This window comes from Homo sapiens, chromosome 1 (genome assembly GCF_000001405.40).
Source record: "Homo sapiens chromosome 1, GRCh38.p14 Primary Assembly".
NCBI lineage: Eukaryota > Metazoa > Chordata > Mammalia > Primates > Hominidae > Homo > Homo sapiens.
In genome coordinates, this window is record NC_000001.11 from 158,876,942 (window position 1) to 158,900,971 (window position 24,030).

A 24,030-nucleotide genomic window follows, 5' to 3' on the forward strand; every position below is an offset into this window, starting at 1 on the left:
CAGCTGGTACTGGGCTGCTCTGGGGTTCAAGACCTGTGAGGCTCCCTGTGGAGTAAAGTGTTGCCTCCATCAAAACTTCTGGGGGCTCTCTGAATTCATCTAGAGGCCTGGGAGGGCCAAGGGAATTCTCCTCTTCCCAGGATTGCAAAGGTCCCTTTTAGAAACTGTGTATCCTCTTGGGGGGTCTCACTCACCCTTTCTCCTTGTTAGAGAGCTCCTGCTGGCTCCAGGCCAGGCCTCAGTGGGCTGTTGCTTGGCTTCACTCTCCTCTGTTCTCCATGTCCCTTTATTCCCTTGATGGATCTCAACCTGGTTTCTTAGATAATCTTCCTGTACAGTCAGTTTACTCACCACTTTGTTTCCTCTCCATGAGAGCAGCACACACTTGCTGCTTCTAGTCTGCCATCTTGACTCCATCCTCCTATATTTCCAATTTTTTAGTTCCACCCTAACTCCTTATGAGGAAGTTTTCTATCAGATCCTATCTCATTCTATAACTAGAATAATTTATATTATTATTATATAGCAAACTATTATGTGTGGAGCCAGGTCTTTTGAACTCCAAAACTTAAGCTCTTAACACTCATGTTCTCTTTCTTGTATCAACATGTTAAAGGAAAATATTGGAGAGAAAAAGAAGTGTCATTTTTCACAAATAGTGTTTCTCATATGCTATATTATATTCAGAGTTTTGGACATTATATATAAATATATCCAATGTAAGGTATTCCATATAGTTGGTTTCAAATTGAGTATATCAACATAATTGTATAATTTTGTATAATCTTAATTTAAACTTCATTAATTTTATGAAGTTCATATATTCTTTATATCTACCTTTCAAGAAGAAAGGCAGGAAAATATTTGATGCAGAAAGCTTTAAAAGGCAAGATATGCTATATAATTCTGGGTCTTAAATATGCAAAATAAAAAAAAAACGAGGTAAAACAGAGAAATTATTGAGGGCTTTCCATGCCAGAGTGAGGAGTAATGCACTTTTCCCAAAGAAAATGGAGAAGTATTCAATGATTTCAAGTAGGGTAGAAATATGAATTATAGAGAGAGCTGGCTCAATGAAAACAACTGATTAGAGAAATTAACCTGGAAAGGGGAAGATCAAGCAATTTTTGAAAATATCCCAGTCAGTAAATGCTTTGATTCTACATTTTGGAGGAAGTTGATTTCCAGCAAAGGGACAATGATATGGCCACAGAGGACACAGAGAATATGGTCCAACAATAATTGAGAGAGCATCTTAATGAGAGCTGATTAGGGAAAAGCCAAATGAGCAAGTCAGTACCTCAACAAGACTTTCTTGTGCTGTGGCAGAACGTTTCTTCTAAAATGTAAGAAGCTACAGCCCATTTTGTGCATAGGCCACATAAATCATAGTAGGTGGAGGAAGAGTCAGGTATCAATATGCAGATATCCAGAAAAAGGTTCCAGCCTCCTAAAAGATGGCAAGAATAACCAGAGTTCGACACCACACACAGCACATACTCTAAACACTGGAACAGTTACCTATTTCCAGACACACTTCCACCACATCCACCCTAACCCAACTCAACTATCATAATATAGGGAAAAAAATTTTTAGATCATCTTGATGCAACAATTCATAATCAATACTCCAAATGATGTAACTGGTGATTACAGTCCATCTTCATCACACACACCCAAGAGCAACACTTTGACATCGGCCACTCACTCACATAGGCATAGCCAGTCTTTCCAATTGTCTGTATAAATGTGTGACACTGTACGCCACTTTTCTCTTGTAGGTTCTACCCGTCACCTACAGATAATGGTGAGTAAATACAAGAACAATGTTCTGCTGAAAGGATTAGAAGCCATCAATGACTATCACTTCAGCATAATTAATTCCTTACTGATCAATGATTTAAAACTTAATTCAACAAGGAGAGACGAATATGACAAAATTCAGATTGCCGACTTGATGGAAGAAAAGTTCCCAGGTGATGCTGGTTTTGGCAAACTGAGAACTCTTCAAAGAAATACCAACACTGGGAGAGGAGACCTTGCTGAAACTCTTAGAAAAGTCAAAAGGTAATTGGGAAAAGGGAATTCTCCCCTCCCTGCCACTGTCCCTAAACCCTTCCCAACCTTGAATAGAACCTCAGCTTCATTATGGTTAATATATCCATTTCCCAATTTATGCCTCAGCGGTCATGATATTGTTGGTACTTTGCATGTCAACAAGTTGACAGCATAGAGCATTCCCATTCCAGTGGATTCATATGTTTTGAAGGGTGTATCTGGGGTATGGAGTAAAAGCAATAGATAAAAGTTGTCGATGAAAGACCGAGGCTTCTGGTATGATAAAAAGGTTAGAAGGTGGTGAATCAAGCCGGGTGCAGTGGCTTACAGCACTTTGGGAGGCTGAGGCGGGCAGATCCCTTGAGGTCAGGAGTTTGAGAAAGTGGTGAATCTAAATTTAAAAATGATGTTTTATATGTTAAATATATCAATTAACCTATTGTTTCACTTGCTCTATTAAGGCTATTTACACTATCACCATTATCCTCTGTAGTAACAAAGAGGAGACAATACTTCAATGAAAGCCTACCTGTCAGAGAGACAAACTACCTTTTTAAAAAAACACAGATTTAATTTTTTTTCAAAAGGCAAAGTTCAGAATCACCATATAGTCACCTCATAAACCTATATCATATTTCATTTCACTGGTTTCTGTAATTTGAATAGATTATCTCTGGAGCATGTCCAAGAAGTTAGACTTGTGAAAATATGACAGTTTTACAAGTAAATGATAGGAGAACCGGGATTGGGAAACATCTGACTGAGGCACATGGAGTTCGCAGGACAGAAAGGATGTTCTCCGTGAACAGGGGAGGAGTAATGAAAGCACTGAGGAGCATGAGACTTTGCCTGTGCCTGTGCCTGTGCCTGTGCCTGTGTTATGACTATCGACCTCATTGAGGCCAGGCTGGATTAATACAGTTGAGTACACTAAAGCACACCTGAATGCTTAAGCAGGAACTGAGACAAAACAGCATAGAGATTGTTTCACCTCCCATAGATCATCTGCTCTGGGTTTAGATGTCCTCCTTTTTTCTTTATTGGTTGTGAATAAAATTAAATCCATTCCAGCAAAAGGAAAAACCTCATCAAAGAAGAGGAAGCAGAGAAAAGTAGGTCCAACTACACCTTTAGCAACCACAGACAAGAAGTTCACAGCTGAAGGAGGAGAGGAGACTCCTATAGCTCAGGTAAGCTTGAGTAAGAGGAGCAGGCTTCAATTCCCACAGAAGAAACTGCCATGGCTCTTCCACTCTGTCTCTCCAGCAGGCAGTTTTTCTTCATTAGTTTCTCATCAAGCTTCAGATTTATCAAATTGCATAATAATTAATCTTGTTTGTAAAAAGCAATGAGCTAAACACTTTAGTAAATATATATCGCACAAATATAGTATCTTCACCCCCCAATAGAGAAGAGTGTTAACTTCAGGTTCAGAGGGGAAAATGCTTTGTTCATATTTATAAAAACCTAGTTTTTTAATTGCAAGTCAGTACATCCCCAAACACTAGTACTTAGAGGAATGATGTGTATAACTTTCTAGTGTCTCTTTTTTTTTTTTTTTTTAATGAAGCCATCTATGCCCTGTCTTACAATAGGCCAGGAAATGTGCACCAATCCTTTGTTTCCAGAAAGACAATTGACATATAACAAACCTACTACCCAGTAATGAAAATGTGCTCTACTTCATTTGTCACTGAAAACAAATAACAGGAAAATCAAACCACTTTCAGAAAAGAAAAAACCCAACCAAAGAAAAGGCTGGAACCAAAAGGAGTAAGATATCCGAGGAGCAGACTCAGCCTCCCTGTCCTGCAGGAGCCGGCATGTCCACAGCCATGGGCATTCCCCACCTCCCCAGACCTCATCATCAGCTCCACCCAACACTTCCTCAACTGAGGTACACTCTCCCTGGTCCCCTTTTGCTTTGTTTTCTTCAACCCCAAATATAAAAATTTTATCTCCTACTTAAAAATAACATGGATAATTAGCCAAATAATCCAATGTATATACTGAGAATTAGCTAGAGTTTAATCTTTTGCTTCCATAGGATACTCGATAAATTTGATATTATCTCTGACATCAGGAGGTTTTCTGTCCTGTGTTGTTTGGGAGAAATATAGAGAGGTATGGAGTTCAGAATAGTACAGGTAGATACAGCAGTGTGTTCACAGTTTACTGCTTCAGTCTCTTTTACGCCTCTTCCCTCTGCTCAATAACCTGTTAAAGTTTCTTTGATCCACAATATGTTCTTTTCTTCCTCAGCGTTTTCACACACCATAGTCCCTCTCCCTGTAAAACTCTTAAATGGCTAAATAGAGGTACTCTGTGGATCCCAATATTGATATTCCGTCCTCAGGGAATCATCCCTGGAACCACGTTCAGACTAGGTAAAATATTTACGGTGTTCACTTTAGTAGAATCTCATTTTTTCCTACCAATTATGTTAACTACAACTAATAAATGTTTGTCCATTCAATTTATTCTGTGTTGTAAGATTACAAGCTGCTTGTTGATCTGGTGAATCCCTGTAACCCAGAGATTTCTTTGAGTGACAGAAAGTACTGAAATGTGAATCTGCACAGCTAATGAAGGACAAATGAGAGTTATCTAATCCAGCCATGAAAACCATGAAGGTTATATTTTTGTGAGGCCTAAAACAGTACAAAAACAAACAAAGTGGTGGAATAGGATGGAGAGTTGAAATTGTGGAAATCCAGGCAGAAGGAAGACTATACACCACGTCTTGGAAAATAAAGGAAGTGGGTTGCAATTTATAATTACGTGTTCATTCTTATTAGGTTGTACTACTTTTAAAGTGGCTTCTCATATTTTGCTATATCTCACATCATTGTTCATCTGATAATATATGAAAACTCCAATGTGTTTCTTATTCCAGAAAGGGGAGTAATTCTTATTCATGATATGAAAACTCTAATGTGTTTCTTATTCCAGAAAAGGGAGTAATTCTTATTCATGAATAAACACTGACGGAGAAAGATTATGGATCATAGTGGGAAAAGCCACAATACCATCTACATTCTCTCTCTCTCATTTTTTCTACTTAGGTAAAACATGATTACTTTAGAACTTGAGGAAATGGTTAAAACCCACAAGTCAAACAAAAAGTAATTAATTTTTAATTAATTGAAACCTTCCCAAGCAGATATTAATAAATTTTTCTCTGTATTTTTAGATATACTCTTTATAAGCTTGCATTTTTTGCAATATAGTATCCTACAATGATTACTATTTTAGTACTTGTTTTATTCATTTAACTATCAGATCTATCTTTTCAAGTCTATGAATTAAAATACAAATTATTATTTAGTGGCAATGTAATGTTGAATTGCACAAATATTGGAATTTATTTTCAAAATAATTCTCTATTTACTTCCAATATCCCAACCTCAATGCCTGTCCTAGGAACATTCATGCACCTGTGCCCTTTGAGGCTCCTATTATGTCCTTTAGAGTAGTTGTATAATTTATTTCATATGTGTACTGTAACTTTCTTGTCAACTTGAAATTTGTTGTTACTAGTGTTTTAGAAAAGTGTTCCTTGTGTTATGTTATTTGGCAATATTAATATAATCAATTAAAGTTAAATCCTAGTAAAGTCCAAACACCCACAGATGTTGATTGTGTTCAGTGTGACAGGACAGATCATTTGCCTCACTTCTGGTGCACAGAGACAACTAGCATATTTCTATACAATACAGGGTCTAAATAATTAGGTTACGTGCCAATAATTTCATCTCTTTGTACTCTATCCCAACTGGAGCTCATAATTTTACTTTGGATTTTGATATATTTACTTTGTATAATGAATTGTACTACCAAGGTTGAATTCTAGTTGTGACGTGCAATAAGTATAATAAATGGATTGGCTAACTTTCTCCTAAGTGCAAATACTTTCAGCAGCTATGCATATGATCTAAACATTTGTGCTGTCTCCCTTCTGTCTTATTTACTTATTTATTTATGAAGATAGTATTGAATAAAAATTTTGAATTCCATGATACTTAGAAGATAAGGTAATCGAATCCTCTCATTTACAAAGTAATAATAATAATAATAATTAAAAGGCACAGTTTTACTGATATGTCCATGTCCAAATTCAAGGTGACAGCATGACACATTCAATTCCTCCCTAACAGTCCTCAAAAAAATTACAAACTGCTATGAATTCAACTAACATTTCACATGATTGACTGCTTTGTAACCCTACATACATATCTTCTAAGTTAGCCCCTTAAATTTACCTCCAGATTTTCCTACACACTCTATAAGAGATCTCGCATATAAATGGAATTATACAATTGATGAATAATAGCTTCTGTGTGTAAGATACTACAATACAGGAACCATGGATGTAGTCAGGAATGAAAAATGGCACAATATCAAGTGTGAGGAAGGAGATAAGTTTTGATTATTCTGCTTTCATCTAAGAACAATTGACTACAAGCTAAAATTGATTTGTAGAATTCACATTTTTATCAAGGTGGGAACTGGATAGAGGAACATTAGTTTGCCAAAGAAGTAAATGATTTTGTTTAGGCTTCAGGAACACTAGATTCCTATCCTGTTACTCAGACAGTCCAGCAGGTGGGAGGAAAATCCAAACAATGTCCTTGCACTCATTTCTACGTAGAAGAGTTTTTAATGATATTAAGGAAATAGTATTCTTATAAGCTTCAAAGGAATATTCAAAAGGATTATAATACTTGTGCTAAGTAATAAAGTATTTAAAGAAATTAGGATGACAGGGAAGTAATTTCATATAGTGTTCAAGAGAAAGGGTTATGAATAAGACAAATCTGATTTGAATCCTGAATTCAACACTCATTAGTTGATTGATATTGGGGAAATAGTTTCACTGATCCTCTAAAATAATGGAAGTCTCCACTTCATCAGCATGGTTAAAATATTAAGTGAGACAATGCGTATTTATGCATATAAGTTTACATATATGTAAAATTTATATAACATATCTCACTGCCTAGTACATCATGAGAAATTAATCTATGGTAAGCACTACTTTTCCTATCACGGCAAAGATATTGGAAGGGGATCTAAGCAATGAAAATGACACACGCAAATGCTCTAAAGTGTGAAACTGCACTGTGAGTTCTGTACAACTAAAATTCTATAAAGAGTTTCTATGAAGAAACTATGGAAAGATGCAGCACAGAATAAAAATTGGGGGCGGGGGCAGGTGGTAGAGTATAGCTGTTTGTCAGAAATAAAGAAACAGAAAATTCATTGTGAAAAACAGATAAAACCTAAAGATTTTATGCAGAAGAATGTCTGATCACATTGACACTTTAGCAAAAAAAAAAAAAAAAGGTATTATGGTAACAATTCTAGAAGTATGCATTAGAGAGGCATTAGGTTAGAGCAGAGATATCAATTAGAAGCAATGATGTGCCCAAGTCAGCTCTCACCAGAACACTTATTGCTAAGTATTTGGGGATTTTATGAACTGTTTGTAAAATCTTTGGAAGTTTGAAACTAGCATAGTGGAAATATTTAGGCCAGCAAAATATGCAAAGGCTACAAATAGATATTTTCTAAAATTGGGCAGCTAGTTTACCAGGACACCACGAAAGGTTTCTTCAGATTTCTATTTAAGAAGGAGAAAGACAAACAGGGCTGTGATGAATGGAGTAAAATATTTTTTGAAGCTATATCCTCATGATTGTGTGACTAATTAAGTGATGATGTTGAGAAAGATAAAAGATTTAAGGAGCATTCAAAGATGATTCAAGAATATTATCCAGGCAACTGTATAAATGGTGCTACTGTTCACTAACATCAAGAAAGCAGAGAACAGCACAGTCTAGGAAGTGAAAACATGTTGTTTGGACAAGTTGACTTTGAGCTACCTGTTGGATATCTAAGAAATATCTCTCTATCAATCTGAAGATATATAGATCTGTATAAACAGATCTGGAACAAAAAAAGTAATTTTGTACTGGCGAGTTATGCATTTGTACATTTAGAGATACATGTTAAAATTATGGGTTTAGATGATATTATCTAAAATAATTGTATAATTCTACATTTATACTAATAGAAAACTGAGCACTCACTATGTTTGGGGAAGTGAGACAATAATGAAGCTATAATAATTATTCCCATATCATAGATAAAGATACCGATGCTCAGAAAATGTAAGCAATACACACCAATTGAAACAACCAGTTAGTGGTGGAACTGACATTCCAGCCCAGGCTGTGTAGATTTAGAATGCAGATTCTTAAGCAAGGTGAATGAGAAGATCAAACTGCCATAGGTGGAGCCATAGAAAAGTTGGATATATATTTGGGGGTGACTACAAGTAAAGGATGCTACAAATGAGGATGAAACTATGTACACAGAGAGGTCAAAGATAAAGTGGAAATATGTATAATATGCATCAAAAATAAGTTTAACAAGGAAGAGGGTCAACACAGCTCATGTCAGACTCAAATAAACAAGGAAGTCTTGGAATAACTTCATCTTAGACCAAAAATTGCTATACTTTAGTGAAAGGCAATTGCTGATTCACAGAAGAAAACATGGCTGGCTCTCCATAACATCATACTAAATATCTCATTCTCCAAAAGCACACTAACGACAAGCACAAAGGTTCACAATAGGAGCCTTGATAACACTAACCAAAGTTAAATTTAAGTACAAATGATTAAAATGGAAATAGTGACATAATCAGGCACACAGACATATATATGCACGTAAATCGTTCCACATCTCAGATTCCCTAATTCAATAATCCTTTCATTTCAATTGAAACAACCATAGTTGTACTGTGAAAAACCTTACCTAATATCCTCCTGCCAACATTCTGCCTAATTAAAATCTTCCCTGAATGTTTTGCACTGAGTAAATAAGCTATTCCCTGTCACCTGTGGTACTGCCTTACTGCCTTTGTTTAACTCCTGCTCTGTTTAAATGTACCCATAATGGGCATGAGAGCATATCTCTATTCAGACTCCAGACCACAGCTGGGAGCAAGCAGACTCAAAAGATGGTAATACGTCAAAGGAGATTGCTGAGAGAGAAGCAATGACCATTGAGATTGGAGTAAAAGAATAATGTAGCCGAGGAGGAGGAGCCAAGATGGCCGAATAGGAACAGATCGGGTCTACAGCTCCCAGCATGAGCGACGCAGAAGACGGGTGATTTCTGCATTTCCATCTGAGATACCGGGTTCATCTCACTAGGGAGTGCCAGACAGTGGGCGCAGGTCAGTGGGTGTGTGCTCCGTGTGCAAGCCGAAGCAGGGCAAGGCATTGCCTCACTTGGGAAGCACAAGGGGTCAGGGAGTTCCCTTTCCGAGTCAAAGAAAGGGGTGACGGACGCACCTGGAAAATCGGGTCACTCCCACCCAAATACTGTGCTTTTCCGACCGGTTTAAAAAATGGCGCACCATGAGATTATATCCCGCACCTGGCTCGGAGGGTCCTACGCCCACGGAGTCTCGCTGATTGTGAGCACAGCAGTCTGAGATCAAACTGCAAGGTGGCAGTGAGGCTGGGGGAGGGGCACCCGCCATTGCCCAGGCTTGCTTAGGTAAACAAAGCAGCTGGGAAGCTCCAACTGGGTGGAGCCCACCACAGCTCAAGGAGGCCTGCCTGCCTCTGTAGGCTCCACCTCTGGGGGCAGGGCACAGACAAAAAGACAGCAGTAACCTCTGCAGACTTAAATGTCCCTGTCTGACAGCTTTGAAGAGAGCAGTGGTTCTCCCAGCACCCAGCTGGAGATCTGAGAACAGGCAGACTGCCTCCTCAAGTGGTTCCCTGACACCTGACCCCTGAGCAGCCTAACTGGGAGGCACCCCCAGCAGGGGCACACTGACACCTCACAAGGCAGGGTATTCCAACAGACCTGCAGCTGAGGGTCCTGTCTGTTAGAAGGAAAACTAATAAACAGAAAGGACATCCACACCAAAAACCCATCTGTACATCACCATCATCAAAGACCAAAAGTAGATAAAACCACAAAGATGGGGAAAAAACAGAACAGAAAAACTGGAAACTCTAAAAAGCAGAGTGCCTCTCCTCCTCCAAAGGATAGCAGTTCCTCACCAGCAACGGAACAAAGCTGGATGGAGAATGACTTTGACGAGCTGAGAAAAGAAGGCTTCAGACGATCAAATTACTCTGAGCTACGGGAGGACATTCAAACCAAAGGCAAAAAAGTTGAAAACTTTGAAAAAAATTTAGAAGAATGTATAACTAGAATAACCAATACAGAGAAGTGCTTAAAGGAGCTGATGGAGCTGAAAACCAAGGCTCGAGAACTACGTGAAGAAATGCAGAAGCCTCAGGAGCCGATGCAATCAACTGGAAGAAAGGGTATCAGCAATGGAAGATGAAATGAATGAAATGAAGCGAGAGGGGAAGTTTAGAGAAAAAAGAATAAAAAGAAATGAGCAAAGCCTCCAAGAAATATGGGACTATGTGAAAAGACCAAATCTACGTCTGATTGGTGTACCTGAAAGTGACAGGGAGAATGGAACCAAGTTGGAAAACACTCTGCAGGATATTATCCAGGAGAATTTCCCCAATCTAGCAAGGCAGGCCAACGTTCAGATTCAGGAAATACAGAGAACGCCACAAAGATACTCCTTGAGAAGAGCAACTCCAAGACACATAATTGTCAGATTCACCGAAGTTGAAATGAAGGAAAAAATGTTAAGTGCAGCCAGAGAGAAAGGTCAGGTTACCCTCAAAGGGAAGCCCATCAGACTAACAGCGGATCTCTCAGCAGAAACCCTACAAGCCAGAAGAGAGTGGGGGCCAATATTCAACATTCTTAAAGAAAAGAATTTTCAACCCAGAATTTCATATCCAGCCAAACTAAGCTTCATAAGTGAAGGAGAAATAAAATACTTTACAGACAAGCAAATGCTGAGAGATTTTGTCACCACCAGGCCTGCCCTAAAAGAGCTCCTGAAGGAAACGCTAAACATGAAAAGGAACAACCAGTACCAGCCACTGCAAAATCATGCCAAAATGTAAAGACCATCGAGACTAGGAAGAAACTGCATCAACTAACGAGCAAAATCACCAGCTAACATCATAATGACAGGATCAAATTCACACATAACAATATTAACTTTAAATGTAAATGGACTAAATGCTCCAATTAAAAGACACAGACTGGCAAATTGGATAAAGAGTCAAGACCCATCAGTGTGCTGTATTCAGGAAATGCATCTCACGTGCAGAGACACACATAGGCTCAAAATAAAAGGATGGAGGAAGATCTAACAAGCAAATGGAAAACAAAAAAAGGCACGGGTTGCAATCCTAGTCTCTGATAAAACAGACTTTAAACCAACAAAGATCAAAAGAGACAAAGAAGGCCATTACATAATGGTAAAGGGATCAATTCAACAAGAAGAGCTAACTATCCCAAATATATATGCACCCAATACAGGAGCACCCAGATTCATAAAGCAAGTCCTGAGTGACCTACAAAGAGACTCAGACTCCCACACATTAATAATGGGAGACTTTAATACCCCACTGTCAACATTAGACAGATCAACGAGACAGAAAGTCAACAAGGATACCCAGGAATTGAACTCAGCTCTGCACCAAGCAGACCTAATAGACATCTACAGAACTCTCCACCCCAAATCAACAGAATATACATTTTTTTCAGCACCACACCACACCTATTCCAAAATTGACCACATACTTGGAAGTAAAGCTCTCCTCAGCAAATGTAAAAGAACAGAGATTATAACAAACTATCTCTCAGACCACAGTGCAATCAAACTAGAACTCAGGATTAAGAATCTCACTCAAAACCGCTCAACTACATGGAAACTGAACAACCTGCTCCTGAATGACTACTGGGTACATAAGGAAATGAAGGCAGAAATAAAGATGTTCTTTGAAACCAACGAGAACAAAGACACAACATACCAGAATCTCTGGGACGCATTCAAAGCAGTGTGTAGAGGGAAATTTATAGCACTAAAAGCCCACAAGAGAAAGCAGGAAAGATCCAAAATTGACACCCTAACATCACAGTTAAAAGAACTAGAAAAGCAAGAGCAAACACATTCAAAAGCTAGCAGAAGGCAAGAAATAACTAAAATCAGAGCAGAACTGAAGGAAATAGAGACACAAAAAACCCTTCAAAAAATTAAGGAATCCAGGAGCTGGTTTTTTGAAAGGATCAACAAAATTGATAGACTGCTAGCAAGACTAATAAAGAAAAAAAGAGACAAGAATCAAATAGACGCAATAAAAAATGATAAAGGGGATGTCACCACCAATCCCACAGAAATACAAACTACCATCAGAGAATACTACAAACACCTCTACACAAATAAACTAGAAAATCTAGAAGAAATGGATAAATTCCTGGACACATATACTCTCCCAAGACTAAACCAGGAAGAAGTTGAATCTCTGAATAGACCAAAAACAGGATCTGAAATTGTGGCAATAATCAATAGCTTACCAACCAAAAAGAGTCCAGGACCAGACGGATTCACAGCCAAATTCTACCAGAGGTACAAGGAGAAAGTGCTACCATTCCTTCTGAAATTATTCCAATCAATAGAAAAAGAGGGAATCCTCCCTAACTCATTTTATGAGGCCAGCATCATTCTGATACCAAAGCTGGACAGAGACACAACCAAAAAAGAGAATTTTAGAAGAATATCCTTGATGAACATTGATGCACAAATCCTCAATAAAATACTGGCAAACCGAATCCAGCAGCACATCAAAAAGCTTATCCACCATGATCAAGTGGGCTTCATCCCTGGGATGCAAGGCTGGTTCGATATACGCAAATCAATAAATGTAATCCAGCATATAAACAGAGCCAAAGACAAAAACCACATGATTATCTCAATAGATGCAGAAAAAGCCTTTGACAAAATTCAACAACTGTTCACGCTAAACACTCTCAATAAATTAGATATTGATGGGACGTATTTCAAAATAATAAGAGCTATCTATGACAAACCCACAGCCAATATCATACTGAATGGGCAAAAACTGGAAGCATCCCCTTTGAAAACGGGCACAAGACAGGGATGCCCTCTCTCACCACTCCTATTCAACATAGTGTTGGAAGTTCTGGCCAGGGCAATCAGGCAGAAGAAGGAAATAAAGGGTATTCAATTAGGAAAAGAGGAAGTCAAATTGTCCCTGTTTGCAGATGACATGATTGTATATCTAGAAAACCCCATTGTCTCAGCCCAAAATCTCCTTAAGCTGATAAGCAACTTTAGCAAAGTCTCAGGATGCAAAATCAATGTACCAAAATCACAAGCATTCTTTTACACCAAAAACAGACAAACAGAGAGCCAAATCATGAGTGAACTCCCATTCACAATTGCTTCAAAGAGAATAAAATACCTAGGAATCCAACTTACAAGGGATGTGAAGGACCTCTTCAAGGAGAACTACAAACCACTGCTCAAGGAAATAAAAGAGGATACAAACAAATGGAAGAACATTCCATGCTCATTGGTAGGAAGACTCAATATCATGAAAATGGCCAAACTGCCCAAGGTAATTTACAGATTCAATGCCATCCCCATCAAGCTACCAATGACTTTCTTCACAGAATTGGAAAAAACTACTTTAAAGTTCATATGGAACCAAAAAAGAGCCCGCATCGCCAAGTCAATCCTAAGCCAAAAGAACAAAGCTGGAGGCATCACACTACCTGACTTCAAACTATACTTCAAGGCTACAGTAACCAAAACAGCATGGTACTGTTACCAAAACAGAGATATAGATCAATGGAACAGAACAGAGCCCTCAGAAATAACGCCGCATATCTACAACTATCTGATCTTTGACAAACCTGAGAAAAACAAGCAATGGGGAAAGGATTCCCTATTTAATAAATGGTGCTGGGAAAACTGGCTAGCCATATGTAGAAAGCTGAAACTGGATCCCTTCCTTACACCTTCTACAAAAATCAATTCAAGATGGATTAAAGACTTAAATGTTAGACCTAAAACCATAAAAACCCTAGAAGAAAATCTAGGCATTACCATTCAGGACATAGGCATGGGCAAGGACTTCATGTCTAAAACACCAAAAGCAATGGCAACAAAAGACAAAATTGACAAATGGGATCTAATTAAACTAAAGATCTTCTGCACAGCAAAAGAAACTACCATCAGAGTGAACAGGCAACCCACAAAATGGGAGAAAATTTTCGCAACCTACTCATCTGACAAAGGGCTAATATCCAGAATCTACAAAGAACTCAAACAAATTTACAAGAAAAAAACAAACAACCCCATAAAAAAGTGGGCAAAGGACATGAACAGACACTTCTCAAAAGAAGACATTTATGCAGCCAAAAAACACATGAAAAAATGCTCATCATCACTGGCCATCAGAGGAATGCAAATCAAAACCACAGTGAGATACCATCTCACACCAGTTAGAATGGCAATCATTAAAAAGTCAGGAAACAACAGGTGCTGGAAAGGATGTCGAGAAATAGGAACACTTTTACACTGTTGGTGGGACTGTAAACTAGTTCACCATTGTGGAAGTCAATGTGGTGATTCCTCAGGGATCTAGAACTAGAAATACCATTTGACCCAGCCATCCCACTACTGGGTATATATCCAAAGGACTATAAATCATGCTGCTATAAAGACACATGCACATGTATGTTTATTGCAGCATTATTCACAATAGCAAAGACTTGGAACCAACCCAAATGTCCAACAATGATAGACTGGATTAAGAAAATGTGGCACATATACACCATGGAATACTATGAAGCCATAAAAAATGATGAGTTCATGTCCTTTGTAGGGACATGGATGAAATTGGAAATCATCATTCTCAGTAAACTATCGCAAGAACAAAAAACCAAACACCGCATATTCTCACTCATAGGTGGGAATTGAACAATGAGATCACATGGACACAGGAAGGGGAATATCACACTCTGGGGATTGTGGTGGGGTGGGGGGTTGGGGGACAGATAGCATTGGGAGATATACCTAATGCTAGATGACGAGTTAGTGGGTGCAGCGCACCAGCATGGCACATGTATACATATGTAACTAACCTGCACAATGTGCACATATACCCTAAAACTTAAAGTATAATAAAAAAATAAATAAATAAATAAATAAATAAATAAATAAAGAATAATGTAGCCAATGGGAAAAACAGGCATTGTGCATAATGAGGGGAATTATAAGTAGAGCTTCATCTCAATTGGTAGGAGATTTCATTGTCCTTCTTATTTTTCCTTCAAGGTTATAAAGACCAAGAGGAACAATAAAAGACAAAAACATTGTAATTGAAATCTGCAAGTGGAAATAAAGAATCCTTCTTCAAATCAATTAGGTAATATTATCACCGATGTTGTAAAAGTTGAGATGCTCATTTAAAGAATAGATTCAGAAGATATATCCCAGCATATTAAGAGTTTTTATATCTGAGTTATGGATTAGATTGCTTTCCTTTCTAATTTCTTTTCCTAAATTCTGTTTTTTAAGAATACTATAATTTTCATCTATAATATTCATAATGTAAAAAATAAATTTTCATTTTTAAAGAACATTTTTCCCCCAAAGTGTTGGATATGCTGTCTTCAGTGCAGTAGTGAGCTGCTTGAGCCTGAGCACTTTGTTCACTGTGAGGGGCGTGCTAGCGGGGGTGGAGAGAGACAGACAGGGCCTTACTAATATTGGGGTCCACATTGTGATTTCTACAGGAAGAGGCCCCCATGAGAGTCATGTGAATATTTATGCAGCCAATGCTTACATGAATAAACACTGTGCCCTCAGGAACATTTCAGTAGGTCCAGAGGAAAGGATTCCTTTATGCAATTATATCCCCCAGAAGGAGAACGTTTGGGTAATTGTTTCCTCTGAAGGGACAACACTGGTGATTTTCACGAAGGCACCAGTGTGTGCAGGAAGCGTACCCCTTCCTAGTTGGTTTGGATTATCATGTCTCATTTATTTCATGTGTAGACACATCTCATTATTAGTACTACAAGTATATTTTCATATTCTCACTTTTTTTTTTTTGAGACAGTGTCTCACTCTGTCGCCCAGGCTGGAGTGCAGTGGCGTGATCTCAGTTCACTGCAAGCTTCACCTCCCGGGTTCACCCCATTCTCTTGCCTCAGACTCCCCAGTAGCTGGGACTACAGGCGCCGCCACCACACCACACCCCGCTAATTTTTTGTATTTTTAGTAGAGACGGGTTTCACCGTGTTAGCCAGAATGGTCTCCATCTCCTGACCTCGTGATCCTCCCACCTTGGCCTCCCAAAGTGCTGGGATTACAGGTGTGAGCCACTGTGCCCGGCAATATTCTCACATTTTAAATGTATGGATTCCAGACAAAAGTTACTCAGGTAGGTATACACATAGAGTAAAAGGCAATAAAAAGTAAATGAAATTTACTCTAAATGACAGTAAATATCATCTAAAGAAATGTAATATCTAAAATCAATATTTTAAAAGTAACTATCGCCTTCTGTTTCTAATAACTGCAAAGCAGCATATCCATCACAAGCAATAATGTAACTCAGAATAATATGAGGTGACAGTTTTTAGGCTTTGAACCACAGGCAGTACAAAGATAAGATCCCTGATAGGAGGAAAATTCACAGGGTAAGTGCCACAGTTTCCCAAGTTCTCTGGCCTGGGAGGACTTCCTAACTACAGGCCAGTGAGCACTTGACAAGGCAAGTGCAGCTGTCACACAGGGATGAGGAGTGAAGACCAATTTTTATGGTACCTGAATAGCTGGGATCTAGAGAAAAGGGACCTATAGAGAGGAAGTAGCATTCATTAGCTGAGTCCTGAGCTGCACATGTAGGAGGTGAGACAGTGTGAAGCTCACCAGAGAGTAGCTGTTATGGGGTTGAAGACAGAACAGAAATACAAGAAAGTGAACAGTGTTGGGGGTTATTGTAGGTTGCTAGAATGGGGATACATCTTTTGTACCATGTGCATCTACCTCACAATAAAGGAAGGTTGCACCTGTGGAATAAAGATTGTGTAGTAGACTAAGGACTACTCTAGACCCATCCTAGCAAAGATTGAAACCAAGCCTCATCATGATTCTGAGAAAAGAGAGAATCTGAGTTTTTTCAAAATAAAGGAGGACAGGAAAGTTTTTAGGATTTACATAAACATATCATAGCAACCCATAAAATCAAGCCTACAAGTATGAATGATCAGACAATAATTGAAATGTCATGAGAATAGCAGCAGCAACAACTACAAAGTCTTCAAAGATTGTCCAACAACCAAAAATCTGTACAAGATATTATTTATATAATGCAGGATCCAATTCAAAGTTACAAACCTGCAGTGAGAGAAAAAAATGTGACCCATATACAAGAGAGAAATTAGGGGGAAAATCCAGTAGAAACTGATGATGGAGTAGCACAGTATTGTATTTTCCAAAGTTGTTAGGGCAGTTATCAAAAATATATGCAATAATCTGAGATAAAATATTCTCAAATAATTAAAGGCAAATATGACCTGAATAACTGAATAGATAGGGAGACTCAGTAGAGTACCAAGTCAAGATTCTTGAACTGAAAATTTCAAATATTTGTAATAAAAAACATATTCACGAATTTCAATAGGCCTAGCAGCAGATTTCTCCACAGAAGTCTTGCAGGCCAGGGGTGAATGGAATGATATATTCAGAGTGCTGAAGCAAAAAAGTGATAACCTAAAATATTGTAACCAGCAAAGCTAGCCTTCAGAAAGAAACGAGAGATAAGGACTTTCCAAACTAACCAAAGCTGTGGGAATTTATCATCACTATGCCTGCCTTAAAGAAATGATAGCGTTCTTCAAACTGAAAGAAAAAACTTGTCCATGTGAAACAAGAAAACATCTGAAGTATAAAAATCACTAGTAAATGTATGTAAACAGAAAAATTTAGAATACTCTCATACTGTAGTTATGGTGTGTAAACCACTCATCACCTTAAAAATTAAAATATAAAACTATTAAAAATAATAGTAACCACAATAATTTGTTAAGACATTGACAATATAAGATGTAAATTATGACACCAAAAATTCAATGCATAGGAGAAGAATTGAGGTAAAGTATACAGGTTTTGTGGGGTTTTTTCTGTAATTGAAGTTAAATGGTTTTAAGTTTAAAATAACTTGTTAAAATGAAAATGTGCTTTTGTTAGCTTCATGATAACCACAAAACAAAAACTTACAATAGATACAATAAAAGTTAAAAGCAATAAATCAAAATATACTACTAGAGAAAAATTTTAAAAAGACTCAACTATATGGTGTCTACAAGACTCACTTTACCTGTAATGATATAAATAGGCTGAAAGAGAATGAAAGAAGATATTTCACACAAATTGAAAACAAAAAAGCAAGCTATACTTATATTAGATAAAATACACTTAAAGTCAAAAACTGTTAAAAAAAAAAAAAAAAAGACAGAAGAGTCCATTATGTAATGACAAAGAGATCACTACAGTAAGAGGATGTAACTATTGTAAATAAATATGCACCTAATATAAGAACACCAACTACATATAGAAAGTAAATATTAAGAGACTTAAAGAAAAAGACTGCAATACAATAATAGCAGAGAAACTCAAAACTCCACTTTCAGCAATGGACAGATCATTTAGACAAAAAATCAACAAAAAAAACTTCAGCATTAAATGGTATTCTAGACTAAACAAACCTAACAGACATTTACGAAACATCAAAACATTCCTTCCAGTAGCTGCAGGTACGCATTCTTTTCAACAGCACCTAGAGTATTATTTCCAGACTACACACATTCTAAGCAACCAAATGCCAAACAAGTCTTATTTATTCATTTATTTATTTATTTATTTATTTATTTGAGACGGGGACTCACTCTGTCACCCGGGCTGGGGTGTGGAGTGCAGTGGTGTGATCTTGGCTCACTGCAACATCCACCTCCCAGGCTCAAGCAATCCTCTCACCTCAGCCTCCCTCCTGAATAGCTAGGTCTACAAGTGCACCACATCCAGCTGATTTTTTTTGTGTATTTTTTATAGAGATGAGGTTTCACTATGTGGCCCAGGCTGATCTTGAACTTCTGAGCTCAAGCTATCCTCCCTCCTCAGCCACCCAAGGTGCTGGGATTACAGGCACAAATCTTTAAAAAATGAATAATATCAAGTATCTTTTCCAACTACAAGGGAAGAAAACTAGCGATTAATTAGAGGAACATGGTAAATGTACAAATACATGGAAATTAAACAACATGCTCCTGAGTAACTCATGGGTTAAGAAAAAAGAAAAAATACAAAAATTTATTGAGACAAATAAAAATGGAGACACAGCATACCAAAACCTATGGGATACAGTAAAAGTAGTTCTGAGAAAAAAGTGTATAGCAGTAAATGCCTCCATCAGAAAAGTAGAAAATCTCAAAAAAAAAAACAACCTAAGGCTCCACCTCAAGAAATAAGAGAAAAATGAGAGAAAATAAACTCAAAACTAGCAGAAGGAAAGAAATTATAATGATCAGAGCAGAAATAGGTAAATAGAGATTTTTAAACTACAGTTTTTTATCACAGTTCTATAAAGTTATATTTTCTATATTCTGCAGATATTTTATCAGATACATGGATATTTGTAATTAATGTATCTCCTTGGTGAATAGAAACTTTTATTAAGTAGCAACACTCTGTCTCTAATAATTATCTATGTCTTAAAAGTCTATTTTGTTCAATATATTTGGTTATCATCTTTTCCTATTTTTTATTTTCATTTCCTTATGCTTCAACTGAACCTCTTATGAATAGACTCATAAGAACATAGAGCTGATTTTTTAAAGAAATTTTATCAATCTCTCTCTCTATTGTTTAGTTCACTTACATATAATGTGATTATTTAAAAATCTAAACATGTTTTAACAGCTTATTTTTTATTTCAATTTGAGCAAATTTTCTACATTTTCATTTAGCCCCTTTTTTGCTTCTTAAACATTTATTTCTATAGCTTTTCTCTAATAAACCTGGAGCTTTAGCTGGTTCTCTTTTCCCTTGACTCTGTCCCTCCCCAGTCATGTTGATATTATCTAGAATTTTTCTTCTGTGCTATTGTGATTTTCCTTCCCCTTGCTTTTTTTTGGCCCTAATTTTATTTGTTACATTTAATTTAACTAAATTATTTGACCATACTTAGGCCCTACACACTTGCAACATTGCCTGGATTTGTTTTTCTTCTTATTTGGGTTCTCTGGATGTGGGTCCCCATATTGCAAATTTTCAGAAGCCTTGCCTGCTTGAGAATAGTTGCATCATTCTTGAATATGAATGGCAGCTTAGCTTCATACAAAAAGTTTTAAGATTAAAATTATTATGCTTCAATACACAATACCTTAACTGAAACACTGGGACAAAATAGATTATAGAATTCAGAATTATTTAGATTTATGGAAAGGTAAGATACGCACATAACTTATATATGTAAAATACTCAGCAATATTAAAATCAATACGTGGCTATTTAAACTCAAAATTTCTGCAACAATGTTTTTTTCTGTTCCCTGTTTGGTTTATTTTTGCTCTGATCTTTATTATTTTCTTTCTTTTGCTAACTTTGGGTTTTTCTTCTTTTTCTAGGTCCTTGAGGCATAATGTTAGGCTATTAATTTGAGATCTTTCTTTTTTTTTTAATGTAGGCATTTGTAGGTCAAAGGATACAAAGTAGCGGATAGCTAGAATGACAAGGTTAGAGATCTATGTACCAAATAAGGACTAAAGTTAGTAAAATAGTACTAGGAATTTTTGTTAAATAAGTAGATTTTAGCTTTTCTTGTCACAAAAAAGTAGCTGTTTCAGATTATTAATATATTCATCTGCTTCACTCTAGTAATCATTTTACTATCTATATTATACCCACACTTCACATTGTAAACCTCAAATATACACAATAAAATCTATTTTTTAAAAATTCTGCATCAAGCAATATTGTACTGAGTGGTATAAATAGTGGGTATAAATAGCCTGACATTAGTTCAATTCTGACTTTGCTTCCAAGTAAGTACTGATTGAAAATATTTTTTTAAGTAATAAATTTTTTGAGCTTTAAGAATTTTGTAATTATGAGTAATGATTTGGCTAGATGTGCCTTAAATATCACTCCAGTCTCCAGATTTCTGCTGTCAGTCTGAGTTTGATTCCGTTGTATATGATGTGTTCTTTATCTCTAGGTGCTTCTTCTTGCTGGTGTCCTTTTAATTACATTATGTGTGTAGGTGGTTGTTTATGTTTCCTTCTACCCAGTTTGGCACATTGTATTTTTTTATTGAGAACACTTATCTCTCTTTAATTCTTGGCATTTACCGATGTATTTTATTCACATACACCTCCCCTAATCCCTTCTACATGTTCCTTTTCTCCTAAAATTACTGCTATTGGGATGTTGACAACTCTATACTTTTTGTCTTTTATGTTTTCTTTTATTATTTCAACTTTTTTCTGTTTTGCTGCTTCCTTCTGTGGGAGTTACTCAATATGAACCTCTAATTAAGAAATACAATTTTTTTTTCCATTCCATAATCTAACCAATGCCTTGTATTCTTTATTTTGACTACCACATTTTATTAGTGGATATTTCCGCTTGACTATTTTATGATTTCTTTTTCTTATTTTAGCTGCTAATTAGGTATATTTGGCTTACTGATTTTAAAATCATGCTTCCTCTATTATTGTATTTGAGTTCAATAGGTACATGCTGTTTGGTTTGCAGTTTTACTTTCAAGGTAATCATTAAGGTTTTTGTTGTTGTTGTTAGATAAATTTGCTCTTCAGATATATACACAGCATTCCCTGTGACCTCATAGCCCCATAAAGGAATGTACTACATTGTTTGGTAAAGTCTTTTGCTTGGTAAAGTCTAATAGCCCAAAGGCAAATTTTGCATTTGGGACAGTCAGACATTAGGAAGATGATTTCAGAAGCAACAAGTTCAGACACCGCAAAACCACAGTTAATCTCACCATTCCAGGCAAAGTATTAATCATAGTTTAAATTTTAAATCTTTAAAAGGATTATCTTTAGGAAAAGTCAACTTCTCTGTGCGATAATACACCAGCACCAGGGCTATGAGGGATAATGGTGGAAGAATAATTTACACTTGTTCTATCTGCTGCTTATCCTGACCTATCTCTTGCTTTGTCCTAGTTTCGTCCTTGTAGACTCCGGTATCAGGGCCTCTGTGGGGAACTGACAAGCAAAGACTGCTGTAAGGCAACATGAGGAATAAACAAGACTTTACTGTTTAAAAATGTTCTAAATGAAGCCCCCAGATGTTCTCTGCTCCAAGCTGCAGCCTCCACCCACAACCCACACAGAAGACACTAAGACAAAGACTTTGCTATAGTTAGGGAGTCTCTCAAAGAATTTTGCTTGTTTGTTAAATCTAAAAATCTCTTCTTACTCTGTAGTTTCTCCAAATTTTATTTAAAAACTTGGGGAACAGAGCCAGCAGCCTGTGCCTGTTAGCCATGTAGGCTTAGGTGGTCACAGATGGAGCCCTTTTTCATCATTGCCACTTTAAGCCCATTATTTCTTGGCCACCTCAATGATGTAAGTGAACATCTCAAGACAGCTCTACTTTTCCAATATGTGCTGTCTTGATAGTATATGATGGGACACTTTCTAAGGCCCTGCCTGCTTAAACATGCCACACAGAAAATTTAGGGTTATTGAATTGTTGCTATTCCTATCATTTTGTCAGAGTACTTAAGTAGGTAGGGATATATTACAAATTTATAATACTATTCTTACATTTCCTAAAGTGTCTTTATGGCAATACTGTTATCCAGACTTTATATTGAGTAATGAATCCCATTCATCCAAGAAGTCTAACTGAGGAGGCATATTGCTCAGTTAAGTGATGACTATATAAGTGCATGAATTAATTTTGCCAACTTAGTATCCCACAATGAAGGATTCTATTCTAGCACTTAGGCATAGGAGGTGTAGAAGTTTTTAATTTTACTATGCCCAAGACGCTACTTCTATTTCCTTCTCAAAGAATACAGGCCTTACTCACATATTTTTATTTTTAAATTTTAGGGCCTAATAGGGACATTAAAGGTCCTAAATGCTGTTTCTTGGAGAAATTTCTCTTTTACTTGCTCACATTCTTCTCTGTAAGAGACTTCTGTCACTTTCCAGACTGATTTTGTTAGGTTTTCAACCTGGTGAGGACACTTCTCACTGAAGTTCAATGACTCTGTGCATTAATACTTGGGATGAGAGGAATTCATGTAGGTTATGAAGATATCTGCCAAGACCAGCTGGTCCGGGAGACCCTAACCCAGCGGCGCTAGAGGAATTAAAGACACACACACACAAATATAGAGGTGTGAAGTGGGAAATCAGGGGTCTCACAGCCTTCAGAGCTGAGAGCCCGGAACAGAGGTTTACCCGCGTATTTATTAACAGCAAGCCAGTCATTAGCATTGTTTCTACAGATATTAAATTAACTAAAAGTATCCCTTATGGGAAACTAAGGTATGGGCCAAATTAAAAGGATAGGTTGGGCTAGTTAACTGCAGCAGGAGCATGTCCTCAAGGCACAGATCGCTATTGTTTGTGGCTTAAGAATGCCTTTAAGCGGTTTTCTGCCCTGGGTGGGCTAGGTATTCCTTGCCCTCATTCCCGTAAACCTACAATCTTCCAGCTTGGGTGTTATGGCCATCATGAATGTGTCACAGTGCTGCAGAAATTCTGTTTATGGCCAGTTTTGGGGCCAGTTTATGGACATATTTGGGGGGCCTGCTCCCAACAGATATCTTTTCCCCGTGAGGAGTTCTTTTATTTCCCATCAGCTGTGTAAGTTTTTTTTTTTTTGCCTTTATTTTGTTCATTTACTAAATATCCATCTGACTAGTTTGGATTATTGAGCATTGTTCTGAGTTGCTATTTTTTTAGGTTAGTAATTTCTGTGTTATCTCT

At 37.1% G+C, this 24,030-nt stretch overlaps 1 pseudogene, besides 1 other annotated feature; it reads left to right on the plus strand.

Moving 5' to 3' along the window:
* Window positions 1,797-3,955, plus strand: PYHIN5P (pyrin and HIN domain family member 5, pseudogene; annotated as a pseudogene).
* Window positions 9,486-9,985: an enhancer, noted in NCBI's record as "H3K4me1 hESC enhancer chr1:158856217-158856716 (GRCh37/hg19 assembly coordinates)". NCBI's record gives its function as "activates a minimal SCP1, AML or CMV promoter by ChIP-STARR-seq in naive H9 embryonic stem cells {active_cell/tissue: H9 hESC(naive)}" and the evidence as "EXISTENCE:reporter gene assay evidence [ECO:0000049][PMID:30033119]".